Source organism: Homo sapiens, chromosome Y, assembly GCF_000001405.40.
Source record: "Homo sapiens chromosome Y, GRCh38.p14 Primary Assembly".
NCBI lineage: Eukaryota > Metazoa > Chordata > Mammalia > Primates > Hominidae > Homo > Homo sapiens.
The window spans coordinates 2,750,691-2,776,850 of NC_000024.10; the positions used below are offsets into that span (position 1 = coordinate 2,750,691).

General features: G+C 47.9%; 1 pseudogene across 1 annotated transcript; it reads left to right on the forward strand.

Annotated features, from left to right (window-relative positions):
- Positions 1-1,605: 1,605 nt before the first annotated feature.
- XGY2 (XG Y-linked 2 (pseudogene)) lies at positions 1,606-24,306 on the forward strand (annotated as a pseudogene). Its single transcript, NR_003254.2, has 3 exons — positions 1,606-1,645; positions 19,860-19,901; positions 24,026-24,306. The product of NR_003254.2 is annotated as an XG Y-linked 2 (pseudogene) (transcript).
- Positions 24,307-26,160: the final 1,854 nt, after the last annotated feature.

Below are 26,160 nucleotides of genomic sequence, written 5' to 3' on the forward strand. Positions count from 1 at the left end.
CATGAACACACATGCACACGCACACATGCACACGCACACACGCACACACACACAGACAGACACGTGCACACACACACACACCTGTGTGCACAGGAACTTAATCCATCCAAGTAACTTACCTTTATAAAGATGTTGCAGTCCAGGCGCGATGGCTCACACCTGTAATCCCAGCACTTTGGGAAGCCGAGGCAGGTGGATCACTTGAGGTCAAGAGTTCAAGACCAGCCTGGCCAATGCAGTGAAACCCTGTATCTACTAAAAATACAGAAATTAGCCGGGTGTGGTGTCGGGTGCCTGTAATCCTAGCTACTCGGGTGGCTGAGGCAGGAGAATCACTTGAACCTGAGAGGCGGAGGTTGTAGTGAGTTGAGATCACACCACTGCACTCCAGCCTGGGCAACAGAGTGAGACTCTGTCTCAAAAAAAAAAAAGGAAGATATTTCATAGAAGACAACTCCCAAACACCAGGTCAACAACATGAACAGACTTAACACTCCAGATGCTCAAATTTGCAGAGAGAAAAGTCCAAGGTTTATTTCTCCTTTTGGGTCTGTTTGCCATGAATCCTGCTTCTCTGGGAATTTAGAAGCTGCCCTCATAACTAAGACTGATTTTCCCCTTTCTCCTGCAGTTAATCTATTTACCAGAGGACTTCAAAGCTGTTTGCAAATGGTAACTTTTTAAGTGCTTGCCTACTGCTTCATGGTAGGTAGAGTGTAAGGGTTAACCCACGAGTTGTATATGGATAAATTAGACACACTCACAGATCTGCAGGGAAGAATATAATTAAAACCATTGTGAAAGCAGGAGTCATCATCGAACTCAGCTATCCAGTCATGTTTCTTCTCCAAGGAGATTTCAAACAGAAGATGTAAATTTTGGTAGTTACATAAAATGTCTCAGATTTAAATGAAAGACACAAAAAGCCACATATCTCCTTTTCCTGAACAACCGTCTCTGCTGAAATATTAGTTCTGCCACCTACAAAGACAACTGAAGGCTGAGGATAAAAAATGCCTCTTGGAAGTCACTGAGTTTGTTAGGTATAAAAGCCAAGACTTCAACTGAGGTCTTTGCACTGATGTGTACATTAACCCCACACTGGGTATCACTGTACAATCATGTCCTGCAGGAGGAAGATTACAGGCGGCCAGTGTCTTCTCTGGTTTCTGGGTTGGTGACTTTGAACTTGCTACAGCTCCCACACCCGCAGCGAGCAGAGTTGCCAAGCAAGTGTGCCGGCTTCCAGAAGCCTGAGATGCCCATTGGTGCTTGGGAACCACCCCAGTTTCCCCATCGTCTGTGCTGCTGCAGATTGGTTGGGGCAGCCCGGGGAGGCTGGCTCCGACACACGACTGAGTGTGCCTACACTGGTCCCACAGGTTTTCAGCTGTGGAGTTTGGGATCTGAGCTTGGAGCCCATTTGTTTCTGGCAGTTCCGCTCATATTTTCCACTTGAAGACATCGCCTCCCTTCCTTCCAAGCTGGGAGACCAGAAGTCAACAACAGGAGGGTGGAGAGGCCGGGTCTCACAATCCGCTTGGCTGGGGAGTCCACTGAGGTTCTTGCATCCTGAAGCAAACCATGGAGAGCTGGTGGGGACTTCCCTGTCTTGCGTTCCTGTGTTTTCTAATGCACGCCCGAGGTAAGAGGCATTTTGCTTTGAGGGAGATCTGCCTGGGCATGGATTTTTCTATTCTTGCTTTAAGAAACTCTTTCCAAAGGAGTTGCTATGAAGTGAATGGGGATAATTTGCCCAATGGGATTAGAAAGGAGACTAAGAGCGATGGGTGGCTGAGAGGGGAGGGAGAAGACGGGCTGCTCCCATTTGGAATCTGGGAATTAGATCCAGAAGGGCAGGATGTTAGCTGATACCATCTAGATATTCGCCATATTTTCCTGTTTTGATCCATGTGTCCCAAGCGTTTAAAAAATGACCTATTTAACTCCATGATTCAAGCATGACTGGGTGTGTGTGGAATGTCAGTCATTTCTTTCTGATTTTAAAAATTAGTTCTGACCATTTCCATACAGTAAAAGTAGAGTTGAAACTACTTCATCCCGTGGGGCAGATTACCAGAGATTCGTTTGCCGGAAGGGTTGCATTTATTCAGATTTTTAAATCTTTTCCTAAACACTGTCATTCATTCTTGCAAATTAAAACCACCTGAATTGTTCACATCAAAAACTTCGATATAAACTTGCAGGCTGGCTGTCCCAGATCCAAGATTAGATTTTTCAGTTCCGTACGAGGACCTCTTTAAGAAACTCCAATGAACTCATAAAGTACAGGATTTGAACAACGGTTGAGTAAGTTTCTTTGGTCATTTTCATGTGGCGATTTCAGAGAAGGGAACACCTGGGCGCATCTTAAGAGAGAGAAGTATTTCTGTTAGGAGTTAAAACACATCATTCAGATGTCCCTGTGGCAGCATTTCCTGTTTATCCTATTTAAAGACATGGACGTCATTAAGATTGGAGTTGGTTGTTTATGGGCGGAGGCGGTGTCGGGATGGATAGATCCTGGTGGACATAGTCTAGGATCTGCAGTGAGAATTTTTTATTATTCTGTGCTGTCTTCAGATCTCACCTAGTAAGTGGACAATGTGGCCATGCATTCATTAGCTTCTGTTTACAGGGAGATGTTCAACAGTAAACCCACCTCCCCAGAAAAGTACTTCCAGGAGTTTGTATCATTCACAGTAAGAGCCAAAGGTTAACCATATCCCCTTGGGCAAATCAACTTCTACAAAGTGCGGATACAGACAGTTCCCAACTTACCATGGTTTGACATGATGGTTCAATTTAAGATTTTTCAACTTTACAACGGTGTAAAATTGGTATGCATTCAGTACAAACGAAAACTGTACTTTGAGTACCCATACAACTTTTCTTTTTTTTTTTTGAGATGTCGTGTCGTTTCATTCTGTTGCCCAGGCTGGAGTGCAGTGACACAATCTGAGCTCACTGCAACCTCCACCTCCTACGTTCAAGCAATTCTCCTGCCTCAGCATCTCAAGTAGCTGGGATTATAGGTGCCCACCACCACACCCAGCTAATTTTTCTATTTTTAGTAGAGACTGGGTTTCACCATGTTGGCCAGGCTGGTCTTGAATCTTGACCTCTGGTGATCCACCGGCCTCCCAAAGTGCTGGGATTATAAATGTGAGCCACCATGCCCGGCCCCATACAGCCATTCTGTTTTTCACTTTCAGTACAATGTTCAATAAATTATGTGAGGTATGCAACACCTCATTATAAAGTTGACTGTGTGCTAGATGATTTGTCCATCCGTTGGCTGATGAAAAGTGTTCTGAGCACTCTGAAGGCAGGTAAGGCTAAGCTATGGCGTTTGGTAGGGTAGTTGTATTAAATGCACTTACAACATAAAATATTTTCTTTTTTTTAATGTGTTTTAATTTTTTTGAGGGAGGGGCCCACTGTGTCACCTAGACTGGAGTGCGGTGGTTCCATCATAGCTCACTGCAGTCTTCACCCCAGGGGTTCGAACAAACCTCCCACCTCAGCCTCCAGAGTAGCTGGGACTACAGGCATTTGCCGCTGTGCCTGACTAGTTTTTAAAACTTTTTGTAGAGACGGGATCTCACTATGTTGTCCAGGCTGGACTTGAACATCTCAGCTCAAACGATCCTCCTGCCTTGGCCTCCCCAAATCTTGAGATTACAGGCATCAGCCACCATACCCTGTCCTGCGCTAAATTCTTTGACTGACGGCAGCACTTCCTATGCACTAGGCATGGATTAACTTAGTTGATTGTCCCTCAGCCCTATGACGGGAGTGTCGTGCCTGATGTCATTTTACAGATGGTGTATTAGTCAGGGTTCTCTAGAGGGACAGAACTAATGCAATAGAAATATATATAGAGAGAGGAGTTTATTAAGTATTAACTCATATGATCACAAGGTCCCACAACAGGCCGTCTGCAGGCTGAGGAGCAAGGAGAGCCAGTCCAGGTTCCAAAACTGAAGAACTTGGAGTCTGATGTTCCAGCATCCACCATGGGAGAAAGATGTAGGCCAGAAGACTAGGCCAGTGTCTCTTTTCACATTTTTCTGCCTGCTTATATTCTAGCCACAGCGGCAGCTGATTAGATGGTGCCCACCCAAATTGAGGGTGGGTCCGCCCCTTCCAGTCCACTGACTCAAATGTTAATCTCCTTTGGCAACACCCTCACAGACACACCCAGGATCAATACTTTGTATCCTTCAATCCAATCAAGTTGACATTCAGTATTAACCGTCACAGATATGGGTAAACTGAGGCACTGAGGATTTGGACGGGGGCAGCCGGCAGCGGAATCTGAGCTGTCCTGTAGCTCTGTCTGGGAAGACTCCAGTGAGCATCCCGCTCTATCCCAAGCCTTGTCTTCTGAAAATCAGAATCATCCCTCCTCCAAGTGTTACAGGAAAGGGGTCCGGATCCAGACGCCAAGACGGGGTTCTTGGATCTCGCTCCATAAAGAATTCAGGGCTAGTCTGTAAACTGAAAACAAGTTTATTAGGAAAGTAAAGGAATAAAAGAATGGCTATTCCGCAGAGCAGCTCTTAGAGCTACTGCTTGCCCATTTTTATGGTTATTTCTTAGTGATATGCTAAGCAAGGCTTGGATTATTCATGCCTCCCCTTTTTAGACCATGCAGAGTTCCTGACATTGCCGTGGTATTTGTAATTGTCATGGTGCTGGTGGGAGGGTAACACTGAGGACAACCAGAGGCCACTCTCATCACCATCTGGGTTTTGGTGGGTTCTGGCCGGCTTCTTTACTACCACCTGTTTTATCAGCTAGGTCTTTATGACCTGTATCTTGTGCAGACCTTCAGTCTCATCCTGTGACTCAGAATGCCTTAATCATCTGGGAATGCAGCCCAGTAGGTTTCAGCCTTCTATTGCCCAGCCCCTATTCAAGATGGAGTCGCTCTGGTTCCAGTGCCTCTGACACAAGTAGCGCCCCTTAGGGAGGTTACAGGAGGGACTGGAAGGAAAGTGAGGTCTGGATCAGGGCCCTTCTGTGTAAATAAGATGATGTACATGCAGCAGCTGGGTATGTCCTGGGTAAAAATTAGTTAAATGCACAGACGACCCTGTTTCATCCCCAGCCATCACCAGCTGGAAATGGGGCACATTCCCAAGATCCCAAAAACATTCTGCAAGGCTGGTGCGATGATTGCTATGAAGTACTTAAGAAAACAGATTATTGTTCAGGATCAATAGCTAATGCATGTGGGGCTTAATGCCTCTGTGACGGGTTGATGGGTGCAGCAAACCACCATGGCACATGTTTACCTATGTAACAAACCTGCACGTCCTGCACACGTATCCCGGAACTTAAAATAAAATAAAGAAGACAGAATATTGTTAATGGTTAATATGCTGTAAATCATTATGATGATTACTAAATTATCAATACAAAAGAAGATAATAGCAAGACGGCCATATTCCTAATAGAGGTTGACATTTTAGCAGCCCTACATTTCCACTGTATTTAATTAGTATTTGCCGTCCAATCCAGAGGGGCATGAAGGAGCACGAGACAAAATCAGGTCTTCTAACAGCTGAGAAGAAGCTGAGAACCAGAAGTGGAAACCCCAAAGGGCAGTGTATGAAATGTCATTTATTGAGGGGAAAAAAAAGAAAATGACAGAGTTCGATAGAAGAAATAAGCACTAGTGTTTACATAATCAGTAGGGTGACTTTAGTTTACAATAATCTATTGTAGACTTCAAAATAGAAGAGTCGGAATGGTTCTAATATGAAGGAAAGACAAATATTTAAGGTGGATGGATATCCCAAGTAGGCTGATTTGATCTTTACAAATTATATAAATGTATTAAATTATTACATGTACCCTGAAGCTATGTACATCTGTTATGCATCAATTAAAAATAAATTAAAAGAAAAGGATATATGTCCAGGATATACACCAGCTAAGACAGTCTCTTCCAAGTCTATTGTACATTATTCCCTTATCAGATTTGAAACCTGAGAGTTCCCTGACGCCCCCTCACAGGATGTGCAACAGGGGTGTGTTTGATCTGTTTGACCGCCACACACTGAAACCTCTTATGGGAGGCAGAACTTGCAGACGGGCAGGTGCAGCAGCTAGTGTGAGTGTTTTTGAGCTCTGGGCCCCACGGTAGCATCTAGGGATGGGTGCCTGCGACCCCCGAAGCCCTAGTGGGCGTTTTACGGTGCTCTTTTAGCTCTGCCATCCGCACGTGGCTTAAGTGTTAGCCAGCTCAGTGCCGTCTTGGTACCCGGGTTCTTGTCCAGCATCCAGGAAGAATCAGGTCACACGAACCAGCTGAAGGATGGTAAATGCAGAAGAGTTTGTTGCCAGATGGAGATGACTCTTAGCGGGATGGTTGGGGAGTTGGAAAGGGGATGGAGTGGGCAGATGATCTTCCCCTGGAGTTTGGTTGTCCTGCGGCTAATCTCTTCTCCAACCATCCCCAGCTGAACACCTCTCAGTGTTCAGATGTTCCTTCTCTTCTCTCCTTCTCTGCTGTGCTGCTCTTTGGTTCCTCACCTTTTCTGCTCATCTGTCTGTCTGCACATGGGGTCTGGGGTTTGGGGTTATATGGGTACAGGACAGGCAGGCATGGTGGGTCAAAAGGCAACATTTGGGCACAAAAATAGGAATGCCTGTTTCCATTTAGGACTACAGGTTTCCAGGCTTGAGGGCGGGGCCTTTGCTGGGGAACTGCCCTCTTGTATCTAGTATCTTCAGGCCTCCTGTCCGTATCAACATGACTTAAAATGTGTGTGCATTTGTATAGAGCTGTGTTTCTATGTAAAGACTAAAAAAGACTTATGAAAAAGATCACTCAGAGCTCTGAACAGTAGCAAATCATATTTCTGAGTACTTCCTGTTGAGTAAAGGTAAGTGAGGATTGTGCCAAGTATTTTTCATTACTTGCTGCATTAGGTTGTCACAGGCTGTTTAGTTTACTTCTAAAAATTGGGATATGGGGAAGTTGTGGGCCGGGCACAGTGGCTCATGTTTGTAATCCCAGCAGTTTGGGAGGCCGAGTTGGGCAGATCACTTGAGGTCAGGAGTTTGAGACCAGCCTGGCCAACATGGCAGAACGCTGTTTCTACTAAAAATACAAAAATTAGCCAGGCATGGTGGGGGGTGTCTGTAATCCCAGCTATTCAGGAGGCTGAGACAGGAGAATCGCTTGAACCCAGGAGGCGGAGGTTGCAATCAGCTGAGATCATACCACTGCACTCCAGCCTGGGTGACAGAGTAAGACTCCATCTCAAAAAAAAAAAAAAAAAAAAAAAAAGGAAAAAAAAGTTATGATGATCGCCTAAGGTGAGAAGCCATACCACGCCAGCGTACAGAACCCCAAACCACGCCAGCCTCATCCTACGTCTCAGTTATATTTTTCTTGACTTGCTTCCATTCTGGTGCCCCCTCTCTCCCTGCCCCCTCCTTCCCTGCAAAGGATCTAGCAAATTTGTAGGTGTGGAAAGGGAACCACAAATGGGTCATTTCCCTGCCATTGTCACCTGGAGCGTGTAGCCATTTCGTGCAGTGATTCTCTGTCTTTGATGTGCAGGTCATCACCTTGAAGGGAGGAGGTATTAAAAGCGCCACCCAGTCCCCACCCACTGAGGTCTTTATTCAGCAGGTGTGGGTCAGGCATTTGGGAGCTGGGAGACCTGCATTTTAAGAAGCACCCCAGGTGATGCCCAAGCGGAGCTATGTGCTTCTTTTAAGAGATGATGACTCCGTGTGCAACCGTGTGGTTACCTTTGCGTGGAGTCTCATGGATCACTGCCACAGTGGGGAGGCAGCTCTGTGCTCTCCAATTCGGTGATGTGTCATTCACTCTATGCAGGCCCAAGGTGACACCCCCAGATACAGGTGCTGCCATCCAGCCATTCTCAACCAGGGATCATGTTTATCCACAGGGACACTTGTCGATATCTTGAGGCTTTGCGTTGCCACACTGATAGCAGGGATGCTGCTGGCATCTAGTGGGTGGAGCCCAGGGATGCTGGTCAACACCCTGCAGTGCACAGGACGCCCCACAGAAAAGAATGATCCAACCTCATATGTCAGTAGGACTGAGGCTGAGGAATCTTGCCTTAGCATGAGAGATCCTGTCTGTCTGTCTGCCTATCTCTAGATCTATCTATCGTCTACCATTATCCATCCACCTATCTGTCTCTATTATATACACCTATCATCTACCTAATCTATCTGTCAATGATTTTCTGTCATCTATTATCTATCTATTTATCTATCTTTCTACCTACTTCTCTATCCAACTCTCATCTCTATTACCTATCTATGTATCTATGTATCTATCTATGTATCTATCTATCCATCCGTCTATCAATCTATCTATTTATCTAGCAGTCCATCATCTATCTGTGACATTCTTCTGCTACCCAGGGATAATTGTGTTCCTCGAGTAACACTTGGCAATGTCTGGAAACAATTTTGGTAGTTGCACTGGGATGGGTGTTCTCGCATTCGGTGGGTGGAGACAAGGCATGTTGTTCAACACCTTACAGTGCACAGGACAGCACCCATGACAGAGAGTTACGCAGCCCCAAGTGTCATTAGTGCTGTAGTGGAGAACCTGCTGTTAGTTATAACTTCTAACCCTGCGAAAGGGGACAGGTTGGAAATGTCATGCTCCTGTACGCTGTAGGAGGTATAGTTGTCTGGAGGTATAGTTGTCTGGAGGTATAGTTGTCCTGTACAGTATAGGAGGTACGGTATAGTTGTCTGGGCATTTCTAAATGGATCTTACTGTCAGAATGCACTTGTAGGATCTTTTCCCCATAGGGCATAGAGCCATGGCACATATAACCCAGAAGCTGAGCATTCCATAGTTTCCTTCTTGGAGTAGGAAGGGGCTGTGCAGAAAAAGTCTATGGCTGTTTGGCACCTGAGTGTGAAGACATCTGGCAAATATTGGAGCCAATTAGCAGACAAGCACGGAGTCCAAGAAATGTCTCCCCTTTCTTGGATAACAACTGACCCTTCCTGTGAGGGCCCCCCTCATTCCAGCCATTTTCCTCTTTCTCATTGGCACACAGGGGGTAGAAAAGTGGGGTTCTGCCTGCAGGTGGGGCTCTGCCAGACACGGCAAAGCTCCTGGGGATTCCCCCGATGGATCAGGGGCCAGAGGCACCTAAACCTGTGAGCGATGTGTGCAGCCACGGTGCTGAGGCTGGGAAACTCTGCTGTAGTCTGTGAATCCCAACCTCTGGGAATGCTTCAGAATCAGATTCTGGGCTGATCTGGAATCTGCATGTGGCTGGATTCTGGTCTGATCCAGGCATGGAGGCGTGTGCCTGTAATCCCAGCTACTCGGGAGGCTGAGGTGAGAGAACTGCTTGAACCTGGGAGGCAGAGGTTGCAGTGAGCTGAGATTGTGCCATTGCACTGCAGTGAGCTGAGATTGCACCACTGCACTCCAGCCTGGGCAACAGAGCGAGACTCTGTCTCAGAAAAAAAAAATTAAGGAAGAGTATTATTGAGAGCGTAGGCCAGGCGCGTGATGTTGCTGAGATGAAACTGTCTCTCTAGATTCCCAAACCCTGGTTATCTCCACTGAACCAGGCTGTCCAATGGCATCCCCATTGTAATTGACCATGTTCCATGGTTTAAATCTGTTGTGAGCCAAATTGTACCCTCCTCAATTTTACAAATGGAAGTCCTAACCTGCAGGACCTCCAATTGTGACTGTGTTTGGAGATGGGGTCTTTAAAGAGGTGATTCAGGCTGGGTGCGGTGGCTCATGCCTGTAATCCCAGCACTTTGGGAGGCTGAGGCTGGCAGATCATGAGGTCAGGAGATGGAGATCATCCTGGCTAACACGGTGAAACCCCATCTCTACTAAAAATACAAAAAAAAAAAAAAAATTAGCTGGGCGTGCCTGTAGTCCCAGCTACTTGGGAGGCTGAGGCAGGAGAATCGCTTGAACCTGGGAGGTGGAGGTTGCAGTGAGCCGAGATCGCACTACTGCACTCCAGCCTGGGCGACAGAGCGAGGCTCTGTCTCAAAAAAAAAAAAAAAAAAAAAAGAGGTGATTCAGGCAAAATGAGGTCACTAGGTTGGGCCCTGATCCAACAGGACTGCAGACCTTATAAAAAGACGAGATGAAGACACAGACATGCACACAGGGACGATCCTGTGAGGACTTAGGGAAAAGATGGCATCCACAAGCCAAGGAGAGAGGTCTCAGTAGGAACCAGCCCTGCCCACACCTTGATCTCAGACTTCCAGCTTCCAGGCCTGTGGGAGAATCAATGTCCACTGTTTAAACAGCCTGGTCTGTGGGACTTTGCTATGGCAGCAGCCACAGTGGACAAACACATTTGTATTCCAATGAATGAGTTACCTCTGTAAGGGTTGAATTGTGCGTCTCCAAAATTTATATATTGAAGGCCTAATCCCTAGGACCTCAGAACATGACTGTGTTTGGTGATGGGGTCTTTAAAGAGGTGAGAAGGGTACAATGAGCTCAGGAGGTTGTGCCCTGATCCAATAGGACTGGGGTCCTTATAAAAAGAGTAGATAAGGACACAGACACACACAGAGGGATGACCCTGTAAAGACACAGGGAGAAGAGGGTGTCTACAAGTCAAGAAGAGAGGCCTCAGGAGGAACCAGCTCTGCCCATGCCTTGATCTCAGAATTCCAGCCTCCAGGACTGTGGGAGAATAAAAGTCTGTGGTTTGTAAGCCACCCAGCCTATGGTATTCTGTGATAGCAGCCTGCAATGGACTAAGACATCTCATAAGAAGAGCAGATGAGGACACAGACATGCACATAGAGGGATGACCACGTGGGGACACAGGGAGAAGATGGTGTCTACAAGCCCAGGACAGAGGCCTCAGGAGGAAACAGCCTTGCCCATATCCTGATCTCAAGACGTCCAGCCTCCAGGGCTGTGGGAGAATCAATGTCTGTTGCTTATAAGCCACCCAGTCTATGGTATGCTGTGACAGCAGCCTGAAATGGACTAAGACACCTCATAAGAAGAGGAGATGAGGACACAGACGCACACAGAGGGATGACCACGTGGGGACTCAGGGAGAAGACGGCATCTACAAGCCCAGGAGAGAGGACTCAGGAGGAACCGGCCCTGCCCACACCTTGATCTCAGACTTCCAGCTTCCAGGACTGTGGGAGAATCAAGGTTGTTGTTTAAGCTGCCCAGTCTTTGGGATTGCATTGTAACAACTCTGGGAAGCCATTACCAAGTCTCTGTCCTGCAAAGTGAGATCCATGGATCTGCAGCCTTGACATCCCCTGGGAGCTGATGAGAAACACTGTGTCTTGGGCCCAGACAGACCTGCTGAAGCATAGTCTGTGTGTCACCCATGTCCTGAGGGATCCGTGTGCATGCCACTCTGGGAAGACGGGTTTATAACACACCGTCAACCAGTGCCTCATTGCATGGTCTGCGGTATTTTCCTCGAGTTTTCCTTGCACCAAAGATGTCTTGCTTTTTGTGATGAATGATCATTCCTTCCTCTTCGACGACAAAATACTTCGATCTCTGCAGACACCGTCTGTTGTGTTACAGACAGACACTGAGGCCTGAATTCTCATTACCAATGTCTGCTCTAATAGAGCTTCAATCTGCAACTGCATAATATGGTCACTGGGAAGTCAAGAACGGGGCCAGTTGGTTGACCTTCTGGGGAGAGGCTGGGCTGCTTGGATGCTGAGACCGTGGAGGGTTCATGGGTTCCGAGGAGCAGATCATGCACCAGGGCGGCCTGCTCAGCTCTGGTGTCTGCAGCCCCGGTGAGCTTGAGCATTAGGGAGTCCCTGGATATTCATGTTGAGGTGTGGAGGAGGAGACTCCAGCTGTGTTTGATTTCCTGTCCTGCTGGAAATATAAACTTCTTAACCAATTAGAGAACAGAATGGATTTCATCTTATCCATGGGGCTAAAGTAGAATTCAGCCCTTGGCAAACAAGCCCCCCGGGAATAAGATTCCCCATTGGGGCAGCAGCCTTCCTTGTCACTTTCTGTTGCAACCTACGGTCCTAACCTAGTCATATGATTTAATTTTTTTTACTCTGTGAATCATGCCGTCCTGGGAGAGAGTGAGATGGAGCAAGGACAACCCTCTTAGGGGCCTGCCAGGCACTCTCCCTAGCATGGAAATAAAGGAAAACCTTGAGTTCCTTCAAGGGAAATTCCAGGCACCTCGCTGGCCTTGAGAAGTACATGGAGCAGCTTGATAAGCAAGAAGGTGATTGTAGTGTAGAACAATAGCCAAGGAAGTTAGAGCCTCAATATGTTTAGTTTCCTGTAAAGACTAAAGATAACATCCTTTTTTGAGATGGAGTCTTGCTCTGTCACCCAGGTTGCAGTGTAGTGGTGCAATCTTGGCTCAGTGCAACCTCCAGCACCTCCTGGGTTCAAGTGATTCTCATGCATCAGCCTCCCAAGTAGCTGGGACTACAGGTGCACACCACCACGCCCACATTTTTGTATTTTTAGTAGACACAGGGCTTCCCCATGTTGGCCAGTCTGGTCTGGAACTCCTGACCTCAGGTAATCTGCCTGCCCTGGCCTCCCAAAGTGCTGGGATTGCGGGTGTGAGCCACCATGCCCAGCCAAGATAACATCTTACTATATGGCCCTGAGTTGATTTTCAGGAACCCAGACCCCCACCAAATAAAAAATGCCATCTGCTGGCTCATAGACGTTGGGTAAGAGAAACTGAGGCCTGAATTCTCATTACAAATGTTTGTTCTAAATTCCTTCCCTGGGGCATGTGGCGGTGGGAGGGGGGTGGAAGGGGGGTGAGGGGACGTGCTGGAGGAAGTCACACCAATGGCCACAACTAACATTGATTTCTGCTGACCCCAAATGCTCAGACAAACTTGGCCTCCTTAACCAATGACAAATCAGAGAAACTTTGAATCCACATTAAGCCCCTGCTTCCAGGTATCCCGCCTTTTTAGATCAAAGCAATGTATAGCCTGCATGTATTATGGCTTTGCCTGTAACCTCTGCCTCCTTGCCATTGAAAACCCTCAGCTACTGGCCACCCAGGAGGTTGGGTCTTGAGGCATCAAGGAGGTTGCTTGATGCCCTCTAAATAGCTCGGAATAAACGCCTCACTTCCTCACGCTGCAATCCCAATGGCGGTGTTCGGCTTTACTGCACAGGGCCGGTGGACCTAAGTTGAGTTAGTGGGAGGTGTTCGAACCAGGGCAACTCCAGGTTGAGTAGGGGCTGTGTAAAATGAGGCCGAGAGCTGCCGGGCTGCATTCCCGGATGGTCAAGGCATTCTAAGGCACAGGATGAGATAGGAGGTTGACACAAGAAACAAGTCATAAAGACCTTGCTGATGAAACAGCTTGCCGTAAAGAAGTCGGCCAAATTTTACCAAATCCAAGATGGCGATGAGAGTGACCTCGGGTGGTCCTCACTTGTGTCTTCCCACCAGCACCATGACAGTTTACAAATGCCACGGCAATGTCAGGAAGTTACCCTATATGGTCTAAAAAGAGGAGGCATGAATGGGCCACTCCTTGTTTAGCATATCCTCAAGAAAGAACCATACAAATGGGCAACCAGTGGCCCTCGGGGCTGCTCCGTCTATGGAGGAGCCATTCTTTATTCCTCTGCTTTTCTAATAAACTTGCTTTCATTTTATGGACTCGCCGCAAATTCTTTCTTGTGCAAGGTCCAAGAACCCTGTCCTGGGGTCTGATTCCAGACCTCTTTCCGGTCACAAGTTCAGTCACAAGAACCATTATCATATGCTTTCTATATATACACATAGGTATTTTTTAATTGCTGAACTGGAGTCAAAGAGAAACCTTAGGATTTGCCTGAAGGAAGTCAAGATTTGTCCTTCTCGGGGTCCCTGTGCCAGCTTTGTAAAACCTCGGAACTTTCCCCTCTGTGGGCTTCCTCAAGCTGAGGAGGGCTCTATGGGCTTAGTACCCACTAAGTGGCTTCATCTGCAGCAGCTGACCCAAGAAAGTTGATTTAAATGAACCCACACTTCAGAGGAAACCAGTACAATCCGATGTAAAGAAATAAAAAATAGGCCGGGGGCGGTGGCTCATGCCTGTAATTACAGCACTTTGGGAGGCCGAGGCGGGTGAATCACTTCATGCCAGGAGTTCAAGACCATCCTGGCCAACATGGTGAAACCCCGTCATTACTAAAAACACAAAAATTACCTGGGCGTAGTGGCATGCACCTGTAGTCCCAGCTACTCAGGAGACTGAGGCACTAGAAGCGCTCGAACCAGGGAGGCAGGGGTTGTAGTGAGCCGAGAGTGCGCCATTGCACTGCAGCCTGGGCAACATAGTGAGATTCTTTATCCAAAAAAAAAAAAAAAAAAAAAAAAGGCTAGGCACGGCGGCTCATGCCTGTAATCTCCGCACTTTGGGAGGCCAAGGTGGGTGGATCACGAGGTCAGGAGTTTGAGACCAGCCTGGCCAACATGGTGAAACCCCATCTCTACTAAAAATAAAAAAAATTAGTTGGGCATAGTAGGGGGCGCCTGTAATCCCAGCTACTCAGGAGGCTGAGGCAGGCGGGAGAATCAATTGAACCTGGGGGGCAGAGGTTGCAGTGAACAGAGATTGCGCCATTGCACTGCAGCCTGGGCAACATAGTGAGGTTCTGTATGAGAGAAAGAGAGAAAGAGGGAGGGAGGGAAGGAAGGAAGGAAGGAAGGAAGGAAGGAAGGAAGGAAACAATTGCTTGAAAGGGCTTTGTTTCACCAGGGCACGCAGATCAAAGGACATTGGATTGAATAATGAAACAGAAGAGCCTGTCTGAATTTACTAATGTGGTTGCACGTCCCGTAATGATTGCAGTTGGCTCTAATTCAGTTCCGTGGTGTATAAATTCTGCTGGCAATAGCTGTAATTGGGGTCAGGGATTTAGATAGTCTCTGTGTGTTCCTTTTCATTTTCTGCTCAGAGCCTGCTGGGAGCTGATTTTCTTCTTTAAAGCGAGGTAAATAATTCAGTGGGGAGCAGAGGTTTTGCTGTGGGTCCATTGCTCTCCTGTGCTGCGTGGCAGCTGTGCTGGTGGCAGCTAATATTCAGTGGGCAGTGGCCTCGACATTGCATTATTATTCGAGCAATGGTACTGTTCTTTGCTTTGCAAAATTGCTGTTTGTTATATTGACTTTCTGGGGTCGTGGCCCCTGAAGCATTACTGAAAATCATGGACATGAAGCAGATTTATTAACTGGAGAAAAGACATACAAATGTATTTAATGTGTATACACGGGAGCATTCAGAATGAAGACCCCAAGTTACAAGGGGAGATTGTCTATATTTATGCTTTGGTTCATCCAAGTCTGGACAGCTGTGTAGAAATAGGGTTGGACAAAAAGGGCCTGATCCAATGCTAATGGCCTGAGTGGGGAAACCCAGCCAGGCCTGTGTGTCTAGATTCTTCTTGGCCTCTCTCTCTCTCTTTTTTTTTGAGACGGAGTCTCACTCTGTTGCCAGGCTGGAGTGCAGTGGCACAGTCTTGGCTCACTGCAATCTCCACCTCCCAGGTTCAAGCAATTCTCCTGCCTCAGCCTCCTGAGTAGCTGGGATTACAGGCACGCACCACCACGCTCAGCTAAGTTTTGTATTTTTAGTAGAGACGGGGTTTCACCATGTTGGCCAGGATGGTCTCGATCTCTTGACCTTGTGATCTGCCCTCCTCGGCCTCCCAAAGTGCTGGGATTACAGGCGTGAGCCACCGCACCCGGCCTCTTCTTGGCCTCTCTGAACAGTGCTCCTTCCTTCCGGGTATGGGGCTGGGAGCTTCTCTGGGATGGGGGGTCTTAGGACGCCCAAACAAGGCAGGTCAGGGAATTTCCTTATGGCCACTTTTTTTTTTTTTTTTTTTTTTTTCAAGACAGATTCTTGCTCTGTCACCCAGGCTGGAGTGTACTGGTGTGAACTCGGCTCACTGCAAGCTCCGCCTCCCGGGTTCACGCCATTCTCCTGCCTCAGCCTCCCGAGTAGCTGGGACTACAGGCGCCCGCCACCACACCCGGCTAATTTTTTTGTATTTTTACTAGAGACGGGGTTTCACCGTGTTAGCCAGGATGGTCTCGATCTCCTGACCTCGTGATCCGCCTGCCTCGGCCTCCCAAAGTGCTGGGATTACAGGTGTGAGCCACCGCGCCCAGCCTGTGCCACTCTTTATACAGATAGGATAGAGGGAAAGTTAGATTCCTGTTTTTAGGTTTTATGGCTGGCTTCGGGGGGAAAGGCGTTCTTGTTTCTGGGACCCGTCTTGGGGAAGAGGGATTCTAGTTCCTTCGGTGCCTTAGGGGAGAATGGGACTCAGAGACATGGGGGCTGGAGAAGTTCCGAGAGAAACTTCTGCTTCTGAGGCTGCTGCTGAGGCCTGCACTTGGCGGTATTGTTTCGTAAGCCTGAACCACGTGCAGGTCTGAATCAACATAAAGAATTTGGGTGGGAGGCAGGGGAACTCCAATAAGAAGCATCTTTGAATCCGGCAGGGGTGGAATTTGGGTCCCAGAGGGGTTTGGTGACTGCAGGCTACAGAAGAATGCTTCAAAGTGCTGTATCACATGGCTTTGCTCCGAAGGGTCCCGAGCACAGCTTTACCGGGGGCTCATGTGTAACGCTCGGCCCACCCATCCACCAACAGGAGCCACTTAATCGACATCTCCAGGATGCCAGCAACCGAGGACCGTTGTCATAGTCCCAGCACAAAATGAGGCTGCTTTCTTCTTGGGGGTTTAGGGATCCCAGACCACAAGGATTTGATTAAAAGCCGCTCAGTTCACTAACTATAAGCAAAGCAAATCAGAAATAGATCTCCTGTTCCTGCCCCGTCTTATGTTCCCAGTGGAAAATAAACCCCGTGAAAGCAATGGCGTCATGTGCAACCCGACCTTGGAGACAGAGACCCCAGAGTTAGCGTTGTCTACCTGGGACATCTCCCAGCCCAGGGGTCTTACTCCAGACCCGTGAGGACCCCAGGCGTGGCTTTGCTGCAACTTCCCTGGAGAGGAGAGAGGACAGGGGGCCCTGCCTGGGAGATAGATTTGCTGCCTGGCATGCGGGACTGGAGACTGTCTCAGTGCCCAGGCCGTCTGATGCTGGCCGGAGTCCGCCTGGTTTATGTAACGAGGTCTGGATGTGACCAACAACGGCCTCGTGTGTGTGAGTCACGCGTGCAGCAACTTCTGGCTGTAGTGCAACCCCTGAAACCAAGCAAAGCCTAAAGCCCCCAGGCTCCACTTCCTCTGTGACCCTCCCCACCCCCAATTCCTGTCATCTCTCAGGGTCATCCGGAGCATCTCAAAGCTGAAGGAGCCTCCGCTGCAACCTGGCCTCCTGCTGCAGGATGAGACGAGCTGTCTGCAGCCCTCCCGTGCCACCTGCCTGTTTTATGCAACAGCATTTCAGAGAGGAGGGACTGGGAGGGGAGAGACAACACCGAGGCCTTTGGTTATTTAGGGCAACAGCAGGGAGTGGCCGGGTGCACAGATTGGAGGAGATTAAGTGGTTGCTGAGGGGATGCCTGGGATTGCTGGGATGGGCGGAGACATAACACAGTGAAAGATATTGGTCAACGGCGAACACAGATTGGAATGTAAATTCTCAGGGTGTGTGCATAGCCGGGACGCTTAACTTTGGCGTCCTGGACAGGTGTCTCGACTGGAACTGCTGGCAGCCTTGGAGGGGAGATGTTGCACAGATCCAAGAGGCTGACACGGTTCCTGTCCCCCAGCCCAGTCTGAGCAGCTTGGACCATGATGATCAAGAGCGCTGGAGGAGGCCAGGTGCGGTGGCTCACGCCTGTAATCCCAGCACTTTGGGAGGCCAAGGCAGGTGGGTCACTTGAGGTCAGGAGTTCGAGACCAGCCTGGCCAACATGGTGAAACCCTGTCTCTACTGAAAATACAAAAGTTAGCTGGGCGTGATGGCATGCACCTGTAATCCCAGTTACTCAGACGGCTGAGGCACAAGAATCGTTTGAACCCAGGAGGTGGGAGTTGCAGTGGGCTGAGATTGTGCCACTGCACTCCAGCCTAGGCGACAGAGAGAGACGCCATCTAAAAACAAAACAAACAAAAAGAAAACAACAATAAAGAAAAAATAAGAAGAGAGCTGGATGGAGCAAAGATTTGCTGGGTTGTTCTTAAAGGCGAGCCTGTAGTGATCGCTGGTAACAGAGAACGTCATCTGAGAGGGACGTGGGGGCTCCCAGAGTTTGAGAGAAACGGCCGTGTGGGATTTGACCTGTGATGGCACCGCCAGCTCCCAGCCTCCAGTCTGGGCCCAGGGGCAGCTGCTGTGTGCACCCTGGGCTCAGAGTTCCCCTTCCCTCCAAGGTTTGTGACTTTGTCCTGACTTAGGGATTCCTGTCTGGGGATGCGTCTTCTGCTCCGGAGAGGCCCTAATTGCCTCCACAAGGAGCGGCAAAGCCTGCCCGGGTGGCATCTGACTGGAGCCATGCCACAGCCTATACGAATCTATGTTGGAGCCCTTGAACCTTCCCCCAGAGCAAGCGTCACCGAGGCAGACCGATTTTTGGGAGGGAGACAGACATCAGAGCGGGGGAGACCCAGTACCTAGGGCTCACCTGGTTCCCCCAGGCTTAGCCTCCTCCAGGGCTTAGTGTTTGAGTGAGAGATTGTCCCCCCTGGACAATTCTGTAGATTCTGACTCTGCTCCTGCCTTGCCCTGAACTTCCCAGAACCTCAGTTTCTTCCTTTGGGAAATATGCATGCTGGTCATACCAACATCCTTGGGTGGGCAGATGAGACTCTTGGGTGCCTGGCATTACTGCAACAGAACTCAATGCATAGTAAGTGCTGACTCAATGTGCTCCTGGCTGCATCCTCTACTTCCTGATAAATTCTCTGGTGGTGTTTTCTCTACAAGGCTAGTACTGGCAGGGGCAAGTGAGGAACAAGATCAAGGTGTGCATATATGTCAGCAAGAGGGACCCTTCACCCTCACAAATTCTGCAGTGTGTTTTTAATGATGTGTCCCAAAGATGTGAATGTTCTCTTCTCTCTGCTGCAGACACATTCATTAGATTAACTGCTTTTGGATCAGGTAGGAACCTCAGCTTGTCCACACAGGTTGCTTCCTGACCCTGTATTTGTCAGTGTAGGCTAGCTGCTATAACAAACAGCCCCCAAAGAATTAAAAGTTTATCTCTTGTTTGTGTTGCAGCCAGGTGAGGTGGCAAAGGTGTCCTATGCTCCATATAGTCTCTCAGGCATCCAGGACCCTCACATTGTTGTGCTTCACCTTCTTCTAGGGCAGCCCCTCTCAACCTAGACTCTGTGCGTGTGTGGAGGGGTGGGGGGGGCGTTGGGGGGCGGGGATATGCCTGTCCTAAGCTGTGAGTGGGACAGTCCAGGAGAGAAGTCTATGTGCTTGGAGAGAGGCTTCCTTCAAAGTTTCCTGGCCATGAGCAGGAATGAAGCTCTGACACAGGTTGCAACGTGAACGCAACTCAAGAGCATCATGCTCAATGAAAGAAGCCAGGCACAAAATACCACATATTGTAGAATTCTATTTATAAGAAATTTGCAGAACAGACAATTCATGGAGACAGAAAGTGGATAGTGGTTGTCAGGGGCTGGGGAGGCGGGAGGGGAACTAACTGCTGAATGGGGACAGGGGTCTTCTTTTGGGTGATGAGTATGCTCTGGGACTAGGTGGAGGTGGTGGTTGCATCTCCCATGTAGCTCATGGTCAGGTTAGTTTTAGTGCTCTGGGCGACCCTAGGCTTGCAGGAGGAGGGGAGCAGCATGAGGTGAGGAACAAGGGGGATTCTGGCCTTTCCATCATGGGGTGACTTATGCCCTGTTTGCTCCCAATAGGTCAAAGAGACTTTGATTTGGCAGATGCCCTTGATGACCCTGGTAAGTGCCGATATTTCAAGGGGAGCCTTCCCTTTTCAGCTTGGATCTAACAGCATCAGCTGTATAGTTACTTTGGGGTTGGATTGGGCCAGTGTTGGGAATTTCTTGGTCTTGAGATCTCTGTTCTTTGCAGGAGATTGCAGACACCTTGAGACAAACCTTTACACACTCTCTAAAAGTCTCAGACTCATTTCTTGGTAGGTCTGTGCTTCTAAACCTGTGGTTTAGGAATATGCTAGTATTTTATTATTTTATTTTACTTTATTTTGTTGAGATGGGAGTCTCGTTCTGATGCCCAGACTGGAGTGCAGTGGTGCAATCATAGCTTACCACATAGCCTCGACTTCCTGGCTCAAGTGATCCTCCCACCTCAGCCTCCCAAGTAGCTGGAACAACAGGTGTGTGCCCCCATGCCAAGCTAATTTTTTTCTTTTTTCTTTTTTGTAGAAACGGATTCTCACTATGTTGCCCAGGCTGGTCTTGAACCCCTGGGCTCAAGAAATCCTTCTACCTTGGTTTCTCAAAACACTGGGATTACAGACGTGCCTCAACATGCCTGGCCCAGTTTCTGCTTTTCTTACACTTCAGTTCATATCCCTCATTGTCCCACACCCCGATCCCAATCCATGGCCTCCAATCTCCCCAGTTTCTGCTTTTCTTACACTTCAGTTCATATCCCTCATTGTCCCATACCCCGATCCCAATCCATGGCCTCCAATCTCCCCTCCCAGAGCACACTTCATTCCGTTCTCCCCTCAACTTCTCTGGTTACCTTCACTGACGGGGCTGTGAGTTTTTCTTCTCCAGGGCACTGAGGACCTGGAATCTTCCCATTCTGTGTTTTCATCAGTCCAAGTTCAGCTAGAACCTTTCTGGCTGACCAGAATGCTGAAAATATGTGTCCTGGGCCCTGCAGAAAGTCCTGCTTGAGGCAGATAGTCTGATTGAGATTCAGGTGTATTCAGACCGCGGTGGGTGGGAGAAAGGGAAAGATTTGGTTTCTGATGCAGGCACAATGGAACCAAACATTTATTTTGAAAGAAAAATAAACTTTTGTGTACACAGAGGAAGAATCCATTGGGCTTTAGCATTGGGAACAACTGGTTGACCAGTGCAGTTACATAATGGTGTTTGTTGGAGGAAGAGAGAATGATAACCAGATCTGATCCTAAAAAGCCAACAACAAGATGATAGGAACTCATCTCTCTCCCAGTTTTCTGCACACAGTGATGTTTTTGCTAATAATTATCCTAAAAGGCAGATACAAAATTGTTGTCAGTGCAACAGGAAAATGTAATGACTCACCCCAACATGGAGATGCCATTTCTCCCATGAAGTTAGAAAAGGTGAAGGTTGAATCCTACCCTGTCAAGGCAGATTGAGGGGTGGGGGTTAGAGGCAGGTGTGTGGTTGCAACCACTTTGGAAGCATTGGGGGATTATCTCCAAAATTCAGACTGAGTGTGTTGCACCAGCGTTTGGTCTGGATAAAGAATGAGGCATATCTGCAAGAGAACCCTGTGCAATAGTGAAGGAGGGGCTGGCTGGTAGGCTCAGATACAGAACAAGACATGTTATTGATCTGAAAGATCACTGACATGTGACCCAGGAGTTCCACTTCTAGACAGATACCCAAGAGAATTGGGAGCAGGGACTCAAACAGTTATTTGTGTACCCATGTTTGCAGCAGCAATATTCACAATAAGCCAAAGGTGGAAACAACCCAACTGTCCATCAGGGGATGAATGAATGAACAGAATGTGGTCCCTCCAGGCAACAGAATATGATTTGGCTGTAAAAAGGAAGGGGGTTCTGATGCGTGCTACATGAGCCTTGAAACTGTGCTCAGTGAAACAAGCCAGGCACAAAAGGCCACAGGGTGTAGGATCCCATTAATATGAAATGTCCAGAATAGGCAAATTCAGAGAGACAGAAAGTGGATTAGCGATTGTTGGGCTGGAAGAGGGGACAAAAGGGAGGGACTGCTCGTGGCTATGGGGTCTCCTTTTGGGGGGATGAAACTGTTCTGGAACTAGATACAGGTGGTGATTGTACAATATTGTGAATATATGAAACACCATTGAATTGCACACTTTAAAATGTCAAATTTTATATGTGAGTTTCACATTAATTTTTTAAAAATCACATAAATAAACTTATTTTCCACTCACCTGCTACTACCTTTTCATTGCTCACCTAGAAGGCTGCCAGTGCCTGCAAACACATCTTTGAATGCATCGTTTTGCTACCAAGAGCCCCCCATGAATGGGCAGGCATGTGCCTGTTCATCCACAGCCCTTCCTCATGGGAAGGAAGCCCCAGTGCAGAGGAACCACAGTCACCTGCATGGCGACTGTGGGGAATTCACTTTTCACTGTCTATACTGCCTGGGCTTTAAGAAACTCTGTGAGTGTATCACTATTTTAAAAAATAGTTATAATTTTACATTTTAAAAAGGAGACAGAGAAAGGAAGGATGGGAGAGAGGGAGGGAGGGTGGGAGGAGGAAGGAAGGGAAAAGGAAGAGAAGAAAGAAAAGAAGGAAACAATGAAAGGACAGAGGAAAACAGGGAGGGAGGGAGGAAAAAGGATGGAAACAAGGAGGGAAGAAAAGGAAGAAGAGAGGGAACGATGGAGGGAAGGAAGGAAGAAGAAAGGAGAGGAGATAAGAAAAGACTGAGGGGAGGAAGGAAGAAGGAGAGGAATGAAGGAGGAAGGGAAGAAAGGAGGGGGGAAGGAAAGAAAGAAAAATAGGAGAAGAAAGGAAGAAAGAAAAAGAATAAGGGAAGGACGGAGGGAAGGAAGGAGAGAGGGAGAGGAGAAAGGTTGGAGGGGAGGAAGGAAGAAAGGAGGGTGGGGAGGAAGGAAAGAAGAAGGGGGAAAAGGAGAGAGGGAAGGAAGGAAGGAAGGAGAGAAGGAAGGAAGGAGAGAAGGAAGGAAGGAGAGAAGGAAGGAAGGAGAGAAGGAAGGAAGGAGAGAAGGAAGGAAGGAGAGAAGGAAGGAAGGAGAGAAGGAAGGAAGGAGAGAAGGAAGGAAGGAGAGAAGGAAGGAAGGAGCGAAGGAAGGAAGGAGAGAAGGAAGGAAGGAGAGAAGGAAGGAAGGAGAGAAGGAAGGAAGGAGAGAAGGAAGGAAGGAGAGAAGGAAGGAAGGAGAGAAGGAAGGAAGGAGCGAAGGAAGGAAGGAGCGAAGGAAGGAAGGAGAGAAGGAAGGAAGGAGAGAAGGAAGGAAGGAGAGAAGGAAGGAAGGAGAGAAGGAAGGAAGGAAGAAGGGAGGGCAGGAAGGGAGAGGGAGGTGGCAGGAAGGAGAAAAGGTGATGAGAAACCTTCTATTAAAATACAGGACATGCGAAACCATATGCCCCGTTTGGAGGTTCAAGCTCTCCTTCTTGCAGTCTCTGCATCCCCAGTGAATGTCCGCACCACACACAAACCCGTGTTCCAGCCGCCTCCTACCAAGGCAATGCTAGGCTGTTATGTAAACCATGCTTTCAAATACGGTGTTTCCTCTGTTTGGAAGAAGTCTGGCCATTGCACAGCCCTGAAGCTCCAATTTTCCCAGCCATGGCCGACTCCACCTCCTTTGAGCCATCTTCCTCAAACCTCCTCCTGCCCTCGTCTGCCCATCCACACTGCACACCCAGGTTCACTAAGCAGGGCAGTCACAGGCTGCACCCTGAGCACTCCTGACCTGATATCCACATCCATGCAATACATATTTGCTGAATGAATAAATGAATGAATGAAAGAAAGTGAGATAAGCCATCATTCTGGAAGCTGCAAGTCTTTCTCCTTCTTTTCTTTTGCCTCCCCCTGCCTCACCCTCCACCGTCCAGCCCTGTGGTGGCTCTACGGGCAGGTGGCTCACTTACTTGTCTTGGATGTTCTCAGCTACTTTGGCCATCCTGTGGGCATCCTCACAGCCTCAAGGGTGGATTGTTTTTGAATGGATTTTAAGGGTGTTTTCTTGTCTTTTTTCTCAATTCAACATGGAATTTGTGTCTATATCATTTACTTTGTATGGCTTTGTCACTCCCTTTTCACCTTTCATCAGGGCGTTCATGGCCTTTCTTCATGCTTCCAATGAATCTTCAATGCATATTGCATTTATTTTCTCTCTTTGTTCACAGAACCCACCAAGAAGCCAAACTCAGGTGAGTGTCTCTTCAGCTGGGAAAAACTGAGGCAACGTCCTTGAACTGATGCTTACGGAGGGGATGGTTGAGGATGTTTTACAGAACTGTGGGGTATATGAAAGAGATGCAACAACTGTACCAGATAGCAGATATTGAAAGCAAAATGTGGTGATTAGGGAAATGCAAATCACAACCACAGTGAAGCACCACTTCGTCCCCACTGAGATGGCTAAAATCTAAAATGGAAAATAACAAGTGTTGGCAAGGATGTGATGAAACTGGAATGTTTGTACAGTGCTGGTGGGAGTCTAAAATGGTACAGCCACTGTGAACAAATGCTTTGGTGGATCCTCCAAAAGTTAAATACAGGATTACTCTATGAACCAGCAATTCCACTCCTAGGTATGTACTCAAAATAATTGAAAACACGGGTTCCAAGAAAAATGTGTACACAAATGTTCAGAGCAGCACTATTCATTATAGCTAAAAGATAGAAATAACTCACATGTTAATCAGTGGAAGGAATGGATAAACAAAATGTGGTCCATTCACACAATGGAATATTATTTAGCCTTGAAGAGGAATGAAGCACTGAAAATTGCTACAAAGTGGTTGAGCCTCAAAAACATTTTGCAAAGAGAAAGAAGCCAGACACAAATGATCACATAATGTATATTTTTATGAAGATGAAATTTCAAGAATAGGTGAATCCCTAGAACCAGAAGCAATGTCGTGACTGCCAGGGGCTGGAGGGGAAAGAGAGAGTGACTGCTTGATAAATTCCAGGTTTCTTTTTGGGGGAACGAAAGCATTCTGGAAGTACACAGAGGTGATGGCTGCACAACACTGTGAATATTCTAAGTGCCCCTGAATTATTCACTTTTAAATGGTTAATTATATGTAAATTTGACTTCAATTTATTTATTTATTTTCAATTAAAAAGGTAACCTTTGGCTGGGGGCGGTGGCTCACACCTGTAATCCCAGCGCTTTGAAAGGCCGAGGTGGGCAGATCATCTGAGGTCAGGGGTTCGAGACCAACCTGGCCAACATGGTGAAACCTGGTCTCTACTAAATATAAAAAAATTAGCTGGGCATGATGGCACATGTCTGTAATCCCAGCTACTCGGGAGGCTGAGGCAAGAGAATCACTTGAACCCGGGAGGTGGAGGTTGCAGTGAGCCGAGATCATGCCACTGCACTCCAACCTGGGTGACAGAGTGAGATTCCGTCTCAAAAAAAAAAAAAAAAAGAAAAGAAAAGAAAAGAAAAAGAAATAATTCCCGGGGCCGGGCGCAGTGGCTCACGCCTGTAATCCCAGCACTTTGGGAGGCCAAGGCGGGTGGATCACAAGGTCAGGAGATCGAGACCATCCTGGCTAACACGGTATGTTGTACCTGAGCGAGTTAGAAAAACGCTTTGAGACAAATTAAGAGTCCTTTATAAGCCAGCGACCGAGAGACGGCTAATGCTTAATAGTCTCTCGGTCCTGAGGAAGGGGCTTGATTAACTTTTAGATCTTGGTTTAGGAAGGGGAGGGCTGGGGGTCTAGTGAAAACCATTTTACAGAAGTAAAGTAGGCAAAAAGTTAAAAGGATAAATGGTTGCAGGAAAGTAAACAGTTCCAGGTGCAGGGGCTTTAAGACTATTACAAGGTGATAGACGCGGGGCTTTGGGCGTTACTAATCAGACGAATTCCCGGGAACTGCGGATGTAGCTCGCCACAGTATCTTATCAGTTAACTGCATTCTTGGATGTGCTGGGAGTCAGCCTGCACGAGTTCAGTCCTTGAGGAAGGGGCTGCCAGTGAAAGAGCCAAGGTGGAGTCTGGCTGGCTCTCTTAGCTAAGGGAGAGTCCATTCAGGTGGAAAGAAGGCTAGGTGAGTAAAGGAAAAGGGAGAGTCTAAAAACAGGTTAGTAAAAACCAGGTTGGGCATTACAGGTGAAACCCCGTCTCTACTAAAAAATACAAAAAAAATTTGCCAGGCATGGTGGCGGGCGCCTGTAGTCTCAGCTACTTGGGAGGCTGAGGCAGGAGAATGGCGTGAACCCGGGAGGCGGAGCTTGCAGTGAGCCGAGATCTCCCACTGCACTCCAGCCTGGGCGACAGAGCGAGACTCCGTCTCAACA